The sequence below is a fragment of the Homo sapiens genome, chromosome 15 (assembly GCF_000001405.40).
Source record: "Homo sapiens chromosome 15, GRCh38.p14 Primary Assembly".
Lineage (NCBI taxonomy): Eukaryota > Metazoa > Chordata > Mammalia > Primates > Hominidae > Homo > Homo sapiens.
In genome coordinates, this window is record NC_000015.10 from 78,716,704 (window position 1) to 78,728,929 (window position 12,226).

The 12,226-nt window shown below is 41.5% G+C and overlaps 1 long non-coding RNA gene across 3 annotated transcripts in view, besides 2 other annotated features; it reads right to left on the reverse strand.

Moving 5' to 3' along the window:
- Positions 1-12,211, reverse strand: part of LOC105370913 (uncharacterized) — a 36,339-nt gene extending 24,128 nt beyond the window's left edge. Inside the window, exon 1 of one of the 3 annotated variants that reach the window (XR_932509.2) lies at positions 10,909-12,211. This is a non-coding gene — a long non-coding RNA (uncharacterized LOC105370913). Of the gene's footprint in view, positions 1-1,664; positions 1,922-10,864 lie in introns of those variants that run through there. The other 2 variants (XR_932508.2, XR_932511.3) reach the window with 2 other exon arrangements.
- Positions 10,238-10,792: an enhancer, noted in NCBI's record as "H3K27ac-H3K4me1 hESC enhancer chr15:79019283-79019837 (GRCh37/hg19 assembly coordinates)". NCBI's record gives its function as "activates a minimal SCP1, AML or CMV promoter by ChIP-STARR-seq in primed H9 embryonic stem cells {active_cell/tissue: H9 hESC(primed)}" and the evidence as "EXISTENCE:reporter gene assay evidence [ECO:0000049][PMID:30033119]".
- Positions 10,793-11,346: an enhancer, noted in NCBI's record as "H3K27ac-H3K4me1 hESC enhancer chr15:79019838-79020391 (GRCh37/hg19 assembly coordinates)". NCBI's record gives its function as "activates a minimal SCP1, AML or CMV promoter by ChIP-STARR-seq in naive H9 embryonic stem cells {active_cell/tissue: H9 hESC(naive)}" and the evidence as "EXISTENCE:reporter gene assay evidence [ECO:0000049][PMID:30033119]".

Sequence of the window (12,226 nt, forward strand, 5' to 3'; positions counted from 1 at the left end):
CCCAAAAAGTACATTTGCTTTGCCCAAGGGAGTCTTTTGCTACATACTGCTGTACATAAGGAAAACTAAAAAACTGGCTAACTTTTCAGCCTTGTGACCTTGTGGTGATTCAGATAGAGGCTTCATCAAAGGCAGATTCAGAAATGAACTTGGTGTGTGTGGGTGGTTATGCTTGGCATTATTGTTTGTAGTAGTATGATAGGGATGACTTCAGTGTCCACCAACAGGGAACTGGTTAAGTCAACTGTGGTACATCCAAACGATGAATACTGTGCGGTTGTAAAGAAGAATGACAAAGACCTCTGAACTCATGTGGAAGAACTTGGATATATTGTGTGTGTTTTTTAAAGGAACAAGGAATGCTATAGTATGTATGGTATGCTACTTTTTGTGTTGAGAGAGAAGAGTAGAATAAGAACATACATTTGTATTTGCAAAGATAAATTCTGAAATGATATATAAGAAACCAATTAAAAGTGTTGGCTGTGGAAGGAGAATAAGACTGTGAATGGGATTTTGCCACATACTTTTATAGATAGTTATATTTAAATTTTTTCTGAACTATGTATTTGTACACATGACCCTTTTAAAAATAAGCAAATGAACGAATGAAGTAGGATTATGCGAAAGAAATAAGAAAAAAGGATCTAAGGGGCTGCCCAACTTTTTAGTACCCAGTGAATATTAATATATAACAATAGCAGCAAAAATTGGAAGAGTAGCCCCAGGAGGGTAGGGAGTCAGCCATTCCTTTGTCTTTTCCTAAATTTCATATATTTTTAAAAAGTACTCTGAGAACAATAAAATAATTTGAAACAAATATGTCTCCAGATCTCTTAAAATAAAAGGAGGATAGGGCAGCTTTATGTAGTGCACTTCCCAAAAATTGACTGATTTACCTCAAGAGGCAGGGATTCTAGCATACATGGGATACATACAGGAGAAAAAAATAAGAAAAAGAAAAGAGATTTACATATAAATAAATGAAAATAACACTTCTTCCTGATTATAAAGGAAATCGCATTCTTTTTGTAATAATTTGGATGACTGATATTAAGAAAAATCTTTAATTTGCCACTCAAAACATTCTGGTTTGTTGCTTTTTATACTTTTTTTATGCATATAAACCTTTTAAAAACTAGAATCGTAATATATAGTCTTCTGTCACTTACTATATTTTGGGCATATTTCTGTGGCAGTAAATATATCCTGGCATCATTTTTAATAGCTGGATGTATATTAAGTTAATCATTGCTATTCCAGAGGTGAATTTTCTTATATATACATTTTAATGGTCTCAAGCAAGCATTTTTGGACTAAATTCATAGAAGTAGAATTTCTGGAGGAAAATAATTTTTAGGGTTTTTAATAGAAATTTTCAAATTATTCTCCAGGAAAAGTGACTCAGGTTATACTCCCACCAACAAGGACAGAGCTCTAGGTTCCCCTTTCCATTTGTCATCTTTGCTGCCTTTATACAGAAAATCTCATTGTTTTCATCACATTTCTTTGGTTTCTAGTGCTTTTGAATTTTTTTATACGCCTATTGGTCATTTTTATTCTTGTGAGAAGTGCCTGTTTCTCCATTGCCCATTTTCTGTTGAAAATCATTTGTTTTTTTCTCAGTAATTTTAAAGATTTCTTTAAAGACTAAGGATACAAACCTTTTATCTGTCACTGAGGTTACAAAAACTTTCTCCCAGTAAGTAGTTTGTCATTTCACTTGATTTCCTTTCTCGCTTTCTTTTTTCTTTTCTTTTTTTCCTTTCCTTTCCTTTCCTTTGCTTTCCTTTCCTTTCCTTTTGCTAGCCAAGCTCCAAAGTCACATTTCACTTAATTTTCATCCTGCCAAATTTGAAAACATTTTAACTTAGTGATTTTAGTGTAAACAGGAGCAGGAGAGAGTGTATTTAAGTCTTGTTCTGTCACCCAGGCTGGAGTATAGTGCCATAATCATAGCTACTGCAGGCTTAAACTCCTGGGCTCAAGCAATTTTCCCACCTCAGCATGCCAAATAGCTAGGACTACAAGTGTGTACCACCATGCCCAGCTAATTTTTAAATTTTTTTTGTGGAGATGTGAATTCGCTATGCTAACCAGCCTGGTCTTGAACTCCTGACTTCAAGTAATCCTCCCACCTTGGCTTGCCAAAGTGCTGGGATTACAGGTGTGAACTACTGCTCCCGGCTGAGAGTTTAGTTTTGTTTGCTAGTGGCGATCTTGGTATCTTTTCATATTTGAGGCTTTGTTGCTAGTGCTGAAGTATTACACTCACCATCCAAGGTTTAAAGGACTTTTGTTTTAATATTGAACAGATGGAACTGTTTAGTTCTGCATCTTTGCATGTATACAAAATGTGCCTAGCAGGACTCTGCTTTATATCCTTTGAAAGCAAGAAGTAATACAGTAAAACTTTGCCTGGCTAGAGGCTTTGAAAGAATGGAGTATTCTGATTTAATTCTATTAATTTGGAAGTATGAAAGTCAAAATAATTCAAAACTTATATTTCCTGTTGAATGCAATTTGAAAATAGAGTCAATGATTCCACTTTTCTTCTCTAGTAAGTTTGGACGTTCTGATCTACTTGGTGTTTTATTACAGAACTGCTAGTGTGCCTGAGACTTACATTGTGAAGATACTTTTTTAAAACTTGAGAGGTAAGAGGGTGTAAATGGTATTGTATGAGATCAGGCTGGATGAGAACTGACTCTTGTAAATATACTTTTTAGACTGAATTTCTGGTTGCCATCTGTTTTCTTATTTAACTCATAAAAATAAAACACATTGGATGGAGGGTGGGAGTAGGAAGGAGATTTATGTCTTTTAATTGCATGTCATTGTTTCATATCAAGACAGAACATATGGTATCCCTGGCTTTGGACCTACAGAAGGAAACACATTTTTCTACCTGCTGTATGCCAGAGGTTCTTGAACACCTGGAGGGATGACCACAGCACAGATTGCTGAGCCCTACTCCAGAGTTTCTTGATTCACCAGGTCCAGGGTGGGGCCTGAGAATTTGCACTTATAAAAAGTTCTCAGGTTCTGCTGGTGCTGCTAGTCCAGAGACTACATTTTTGAGAACCACTCTTGTCTACTAACTGTGAATTGTAGAACTCTAGAAAAAAGCTGAGGAGCCAAGATGGCCGAATAGGAACAGCTCCAGTCTACAGCTCCCAGCGTGAGAGACGCAGAAGACGGGTGATTTCTGCATTTCCATCTGAGGTACCGGGTTCATCTCACTAGGGAGTGCCAGACAGTGGGCGCAGGTCAGTGGGTGCATGCACTGTGCACCAGCCGAAGCAGGGCAAGGCATTGCCTCACTCAGGAAGTGCAAGGGGTCAGGGAGTTCCCTTTCCTAGTCAAAGAAAGTGGTGACAGACGGCACCTGGAAAATCGGGTCACTCCCACCTGAATACTGCCCTTTTCCGACTGGTTTAAAAAACGGCGCACCAGGAGATTATATCCCTCACCTGGCTCGGAGGGTCCTACGCCCATGGAGTCTCGCTGATGGCTACCACAGCAGTCTGAGATCAAACTGCAAGGCGGCAGCGAGGCTGGGGGAGGTGCGCCTGCCATTGCCCAGGCTTGATTAAGTAAACAAAGCAGCCGGGAAGCTCGAACTGGGTGGAGCCCACCAGAGCTCAAGGAGGCGTGCCTGCCTCTGTAGGCTCCACCTCTGGGGGCAGGGCACAGACAAACAAAAAGACAGCAGCAGCCTCTGCAGACTTTAATGTCCCTCTCTGACAGCTTTGAAGAGAGCAGTGGTTCTCCCAGCACACAGCTGGAGATCTGAGAACGGGCAGACTGCCTCCTCAAGTGGGTCCCTGACCCCTGATCCCCGAGCAGCCTAACTGGGAGGCACCCCCCAGCAGGGGCAGACTGACACCTCACACGGCTGGGTACTCCAACAGACCTGCAGCTGAGGGTCCTGTCTGTTAGAAGGAAAACTAACAAACAGAAAGGACATCCACACCAAAAACCCATCTGTACATCACCATCATCAAAGACCAAAAGTAGATAAAACCACAAAGATGGGGAAAAAACAGAGCAGAAAAACTGGAAACTCTAAAAAGCAGAGCACCTCTCCTCCTCCAAAGGAATGCAGTTCCTCACCAGCAACGGAACAAAGCTGGACGGAGAATAACTTTGACGAGCTGAGAGAAGAAGGCTTCAGATGATCAAATTACTCCGAGCTATGGGAGGAAATTCAAACCAAAGGCAAAGAAGTTGAAAACTTTGAAAAAATTTAGAAGAATGTATAACTAGAATAACCAATACAGAGAAGTGCTTAAAGGAGCTGATAGAGCTGAAAACCAAGGCTCGAGAACTACGTGAAGAATGCAGAAGCCGCAGGAGCCGATGCGATCAACTGGAAGAAAGGGTATCAGCAATGGAAGATGAAATGAATGAAATGAAGCAAGAAGGGAAGTTTAGAGAAAAAAGAATAAAAAGAAATGAGCAAAGCCTCCAAGAAATATGGGACTATGTGAAAAGACCAAATCTATGTCTGATTGGTGTACCTGAAAGTGACGGGGAGAATGGAACCAAGTTGGAAAACACTCTGCAGGATATTATCCAGGAGAACTTCCCCAATCTAGCAAGGCAGGCCAACGTTCAGATTCAGGAAATACAGAGAACGCCATAGAGATACTCCTCGAGAAGAGCAACTCCAAGACACATAATTGTCAGATTCACCAAAGTTGAAATGAAGGAAAAAATGTTAAGGGCAGCCAGAGAGAAAGGTCAGGTTACCCTCAAAGGGAAGCCCATCAGACTAACAGCGGATCTCTCGGCAGAAACCCTACAAGCCAGAAGAGAGTGGGGGCCAATATTCAACATTCTTAAAGAAAAGAATTTTCAACCCAGAATTTCATATCCAGCCAAACTAAGCTTCATAAGTGAAGGAGAAATAAAATACTTTACAGACAATCAAATGCCGAGAGATTTTGTCACCACCAGGCCTGCCCTAAAAGAGCTCCTGAAGGAAGCGCTAAACATGGAAAGGAACAACTGGTACCAGCCACTGCAAAATCATGCCAAAATGTAAAGACCATCGAGACTAGGAAGAAACTGCATCAACTAACGAGCAAAATAACCAGCTAACATCATAATGACAGGATCAAATTCACACATAACAATATTAACTTTAAATGTAAATGGACTAAATGCTCCAGTTAAAAGACACAGACTGGCAAATTGGATAGAGTCAAGACCCATCAGTGTGCTGTATTCAGGAAACCCATCTCACGTGCAGAGACACATATAGGCTCAAAATAAAAGGATGGAAGAAGATCTACCAAGCAAATGGAAAACAAAAAAAGGCAGGGGTTGCAATCCTAGTCTCTGATAAAACAGACTTTAAACCAACAAAGATCAAAAGAGACAAAGAAGGCCATTAGTTAATGGTAAAGGGATCAATTCAACAAGAAGAGCTAACTATCCTAAATATGTATGCACCCACTACAGGCGCACCCAGATTCTTAAGGCAAGTCCTGAGTGACCTACAAAGAGACTTAGACTCCCACACATTAATAATGGGAGAGTTTAACACCCCACTGTCAACATTAGACAGATCAACGAGACAGAAAGTCAACAAGGATACCCAGGAATTGAACTCAGCTCTGCACCAAGCAGACCTAATAGACATCTACAGAACTCTCCACCCCAAATCAACAGAATATACATTTTTTTCAGCACCACACCACACCTTTTCCAAAATTGACCACATACTTGGAAGTAAAGTTCTCCTCAACAAATGTAAAAGAACAGAAATTATAACAAACTATCTCTCAGACCACAGTGCAATCAAACTAGAACTCAGGATTAAGAAACTCACTCAAAACTGCTCAACTAAATGGAAACTGAACAACCTGCTCCTGAATGACTACTGGGTACATAATGAAATGAAGGCAGAAATAAAGATGTTCTTTGAAACCAACAAGAACAAAGACACCACATATCAGAATCTCTGGGACGCATTCAAAGCAGTGTGTAGAGGGAAATTTATAGCACTAAATGCCCACAAGAGAAAGCAGGAAAGATCCAAAATTGACACCCTAACATCACAATTAAAAGAACTAGAAAAGCAAGAGCAAACACATTCAAAAGCTAGCAGAAGGCAAGAAATAACTAAAATCAGAGCAGAACTGAAGGAAATAGAGACACAAAAAACCCTTCAAAAAAGTAATGAATCCAGGAGCTGGTTTTTTGAAAGGATCAACAAAATTGATAGACCGCTAGCAAGACTAATAAAGAAAAAAAGAGAGAAGAATCAAATAGATGCAATAAAAAATGATAAAGGGGATATCACCACCGATCCTACAGAAATACAAACTACCATCAGAGAATACTACAAACAACTCTATGCAAATAAACTAGAAAATCTAGAAAAAATGGATAAATTCCTGGACACATACACTCTCCCAAGACTAAACCAGGAAGAAGTTGAATCTCTGAATAGACCAATAACAGGAGCTGAAATTGTGGCAATAATCAATAGCTTACCAACCAAAAAAAGTCCAGGACCAGATGGATTCACAGCTGAATTCTACCAGAGGTACAAGGAGGAACCGGTACCATTCCTTCTGAAACTATTCCATTCAATAGAAAAAGAGGGAATCCTCCCTAACTCATTTTATGAGGCCAGCATCATCCTGATACCAAAGCCTGGCAGAGACACAACCAAAAAAAGAGAATTTTAGACCAATATCCTTGATGAACATTGATGCAAAAATCCTCAATAAAATACTGGCAAACCGAATCCAGCAGCACATCAAAAAGCTTATCCACCATGATCAAGTGGGCTTCATCCCTGGGATGCAAGGCTGGTTCAACATATGCAAATCAATAAATGTAATCCAGCATATAAACAGAACCAAAGACAAAAACCACATGATTATCTCAATAGATGCAGAAAAGGCCTTTGACAAAATTCAACAACCCTTCACGCTAAAAACTCTCAATAAATTAGGTATTGATGGGATGTATCTCAAAATAATAAGAGCTATCTATGACAAACCCACAGCCAATATCATACTGAATGGGCACAAACTGGAAGCATTCCCTTTGAAAACGGGCACAAGACAGGGATGCCCTCTCTCACCACTCCTATTCAACATAGTGTTGGAAGTTCTGGCCAGGGCAATTAGGCAGGAGAAGGAAATAAAGGGTATTCAATTAGGAAAAGAGGAAGTCAAATTGTCCCTGTTTGCAGATGACATGATTGTATATCTAGAAAACCCCATTGTCTCAGCCCAAAATCTCCTTAAGCTGATAAGCAACTTCAGCAGTCTCAGGATACAAAATCAATGTACAGAAATCACAAGCATTCTTATACACCAACAACAGACAAACAGCCAAATCATGAGTGAACTCCCATTCACAATTGCTTCAAAGAGAATAAAATACTTAGGAATCCAACTTAAAAGGGATGTGAAGGACCTCTTCAAGGAGAACTACAAACCACTGCTCAATGAAATAAAAGAAGATACAAACAAATGGAAGAACATTCCATGCTCATGGGTAGGAAGAATCAATGTCGTGAAAATGGCCATACGGCCCAAGGTAATTTACAGATTCAATGCCATCCCCATCAAGCTACCAATGACTTTCTTCACAGAATTGGAAAAAACTACTTTAAAGTTCATATGGAACCAAAAAAGAGCCTGCATCGCCAAGTCAATCCTAAGCCAAAAGAACAAAGCTGGAGGCATCACACTACCTGACTTCAAACTATAGTACAAGGCTACAGTAACCAAAACAGCATGGTACTGGTACCAAAACAGAGATATAGATCAAAGGAACAGAACAGAGCCCTCAGAAATAATGCTGCATATCTACAACTATCTGATCTTTGACAAACCTGACAAAAACAAGCAATGGGGAAAGGATTCCCTATTTAATAAATGGTGCTGGGAAAACTGGCTAGCCATATGTAGAAAGCTGAAACTGGATCCCTTCCTTACACCTTATACAAAAATTAATTCAAGATGGATTAAAGACTTAAACGTTAGACCTAAAACCATAAAAACCCTAGAAGAAAACCTAGGCATTACCATTCAGGACATAGGCATGGGCAAGGACTTCATGTCTAAAACACCAAAAGCAATGGCAACAAAAGCCAAAATTGACAAATGGGATCTAATTAAACTAAAGAGCTTCTGCACAGCAAAAGAAACTACCATCAGAGTGAACAGGCAACCTACAAAATGGGAGAAAATTTTTGCAACCTACTCATCCAACAAAGAGCTAATATCCAGAATCTACAATGAACTCAAACAAATTTACAAGAAAAAAACAAACAACCCCATCAAAAAGTGGGCAAAGGACATGAACAGACACTTCTCAAAAGAAGACATTTATGCAGCCAAAAAACACATGAAAAAATGCTCATCGTCACTGGCCATCAGAGAAATGCAAATCAAAACCACAATGAGATACCATCTCACACCAGTTAGAATGGCAATCATTAAAAAGTCAGGAAACAACAGGTGTGGAGAGGATGTGAAGAAATAGGAACACTTTTACACTGTTGGTGGGACTGTAAAGTAGTTCAACCATTGTGGAAGTCAGTGTGGCGATTCCTCAGGGATCTAGAACTAGAAATACCATTTGACCCAGCCATCCCATTACTGGCTATATACCCAAAGGACTATAAATCATGCTGCTATAAAGACACATGCACATGTATGTTTACTGCGACATCATTCACAATAGCAAAGACTTGCAACCAACCCAAATGTCCAACAAGGATAGACTGGATTAAGAAAATGTGGCACATATACACCATGGAATACTATGCAGCCATAAAAAACGATGAGTTCATGTCCTTTGTAGGGACAAGGATGAAATTGGAAATCATCATTCTCAGTAAACTATCGCCAGAACGAAAAACCAAACACCGCATATTCTCACTCATAGGTGGGAATTGAACAATGAGAACACGTGGACACAGGAAGGGGAACATCACACTCTGGGGACTGTTGTGGGGTGGGGGGAGGGGGGAGGAATAGCATTGGGAGATATACCTAATGCTAGATGACAAGTTAGTGGGTGCAGCGCACCAGCATGGCACATGTATACATATGTAACTAACCTGCACATTGTGCACATGTACCCTAAAACTTAAAGATAATAATAATAAAAAAAAAGAAAAAATAGAAAAAAGCTTAGTTTGGTGTGGGAAAAGAAGCTCACAGGTTATGGAGCAAATCATGTAAGATTCAACCCTTGATCTCAGCCTAGTGTGGAATTCAAGTAACAAGCAATACACAGTGACATAACACAATTCTTGGTTTTCATGATTGCAAGTCATAGCCAAGTATCAAGTGAGAAATTCAGTTTCATTTGCAAGGCTTAGAGAGGCCAGGTGATTCTAGAAAAATAGGCCTTGTATATGCTTTAAACCAGTAAAGAGCTTTGAGTGCTTATTAAATTGAAAGCTTTGTGTTTTTATTAATTTTTTACTTTTTTTTTTTTTTGAGATGGAGTCTCAGTCTGTCACCCAGGCTGCAGTGCAGTGGTGTGACCTTGGCTCACTGCAACTTCGGCTTCCAGGTTCAAGTGATTCTCCTGCGTCAGTCTCCCGAGTAGCTGGGATTGCAGGTACCCATGACCACACCTGGCTAGTTTTTGTATTTTTAGTAGAGACGGGGTTTCACCATGTTGGCCAGGCTGGTCTTGAACTCCTGACCTAAGGTGATCCACCCGCCTAGGCCTCCCAAAGTGCTGGGATTACGGGAGTGAGCCACTGCACCCGGCACAAAAGCTTTGTGTTTTTAAAGATATTAGACATGTTTCTTATTTTTTAAAAAAAAAAATCTTAATAATGCAGGAAATTAAGAAAAACTTTTTCCAAAAAAAAGAATTCATTGTGATTATCTTATTGGAATGTTGGATAATATAGTCCACTTCATTAAACATCAAGCATGCTATGGATTTTCCATTTTTATAGGAGTTGTATCTCAATTGAAGTAACACTGGTAATTCTTGTACTTCATTTGAAGATGAAAAATGTAGGCCAAAATCATAGACCTTGCATAGAAGCTGGATAATGAAGACAGCTCTGGTGGAACACGTAGACATATGCACACTGATACACATATATAAAAAGTATAAGCACATATATTTTTTAAAGTTTATTTTTAAAGTTTTAAAGCTTTTAAAGCAAAAGCCGGCCCCTCCCCTCTCCTGGAGTGGGCGGCCCCTCCCTGCTCCTGGAGTAGGCAGGCCCCGCCCCTCTCCCCAAGTGGGCGGGACAGCAGTTGCATGGGCAGCTTTCCTTGTGATGCCACAGGTTCCTCTGGACACACTGCTGCCTGGCCACGCCTCCTTTCCCTTTCATCTTTCTCACTGACCAATGGGCTTGGAGCATTAAGGCCCCGCCCCATTCTGCATTACAGTGTGGCCCTGGTTACACCTCCTCTGGCTCAGTCACACAGCTGCCTGGTAGGTGACTGGAGGTGTTCGCTGATGTGGCCCTAACCCTGCCTCCCTCCCCACCCCACGATGTTAGAAGAAACTCAACAGAGGAAACTGGCCACAGCCAAGAAAAAAGTAAAACGCATCAGATCATGGCCCCCCCAACCCAGCCACAGATCCCCTTTGATGGCAAGACCACTGCCAGAGTCCATACCAGCCCTTAGGCACACCGGGCTGGGTCCCCCCACACTGGCACCTCTGTGCTCCCTCCAACCAAAGTCTTGTCAGTCAGTCCCGCCCCTTCAGCAAGCAGCTCAGGCCCTGCCCTCACCAATCACCCCAGGGTGACTTTGGGCGAGTGACTTCTGGGGCTCCCGGCTCCATACTCAGCCTTCACATCCTGCCACCCCAAGCCCGACCTCCCTGAGTTCTTTGGGCTCACCTCTCCAAGGACCTGGGTCCCCCAGCCCCAGGCCCCACCCTCACCAGTCATCCCTGGGTGACTTTGGGCTGGTGACTCCTCGGGCTTCCTGCTGCAGACTCTGCTCTCCCCTCCTGCTGACCCAAGCCCGACCTCCCTGGGCTCTTTGGGCTGGTGTCTCCGTGGACCTGGGTCCCAGCCCTACATCCCCCTGCTCCATTGTGAATCGGTGACTCAGCCATCACACTGATGTTGTTCCCTCCCTCCCCTAGGAGGAGTGGAATGTAGTGATGTCACAGTCCCCCCAGGAACTGTCATTACTGCTTCAAGACCGGCCTTTGATCTTACAACCCAGTCCCCTAAGCATTCTCACCCCATTTCTGGTTCCTGTGGTCACAGCACAAATTTCCAGCTGGAAGGGGAATGGGGACTATGGGACCTAGGGGCAAGAGGTTTCAGGCTGCCTTACTCCCTTCACATAGACATTGACAGCGTGAAAAGCCTACAATTCCCCCGTGAGCTCAAAACATTGACAGTATCTCTGGGTGGCAATGGGAGAACAGGTTTGGTTTGGTTTGGTTTGATTTTCTCCCAGGCTTCTACTCTCCAGAGAGACTTTAACATTATTTTCTCAGTTCTCCACCTCATATTCTAATTCTTCATGGTTCTGGGACCAGACTGCCCTTCAGTCAATGGTCGCTGGAGTGAGATTTGCTCATCTTCTGTGGAATAGATCTGGGGAAATTGAACTTGACAGCTTGAATCTTCCTCTTATCATCCCAATCTGGGGTACTTTGAGTGCCACAGGATAAGTGTGGGAGATCTTTCTGAAGCATCAATTTCCCTTGATTCCCTTGAGAGAGAAAAAGCATTAATGTACTTAGGGAAGACAGTCACATAGGTTTCTAAGAGTATACCAGACTTCTCTCTGAAATGAGACTTGGGTTGTCCTCTTTCTGATAAATTCTGAGATTTAACAAAAAAGCTGCCTTCTGCCATGAGGACACATTGATATAAAAGTTTAAGAGGTACTGGTGCACTTCTTCACACTAACAGACATGTGAGGATGTATGACTGTAACCCACACAGAGTGCAGTTCCTGTCTACTTAATGTTTACTTTTCTACCTCTGCCTCTGGTTTTGGTCCCTGGCAGCTGCTGATTCATGGCAAAACCCCAGAGCTTGGAGTCAGAAGACTGAGTTTAAGTTCCATTATTGCCCCTGCCCTTTTTTTTAGCTATAATATCCATCTCTCTCTGTCACTAAGTGATCGTGACAACACCTTGTAGTTGTTGGTGGCATTAAATCAGATGGTGTATAAGAGTATTTTGCAAAAACTGTAAAGGAGAATGTGGCTGTAGAGGCTGGAAGTTCTCACAAGTA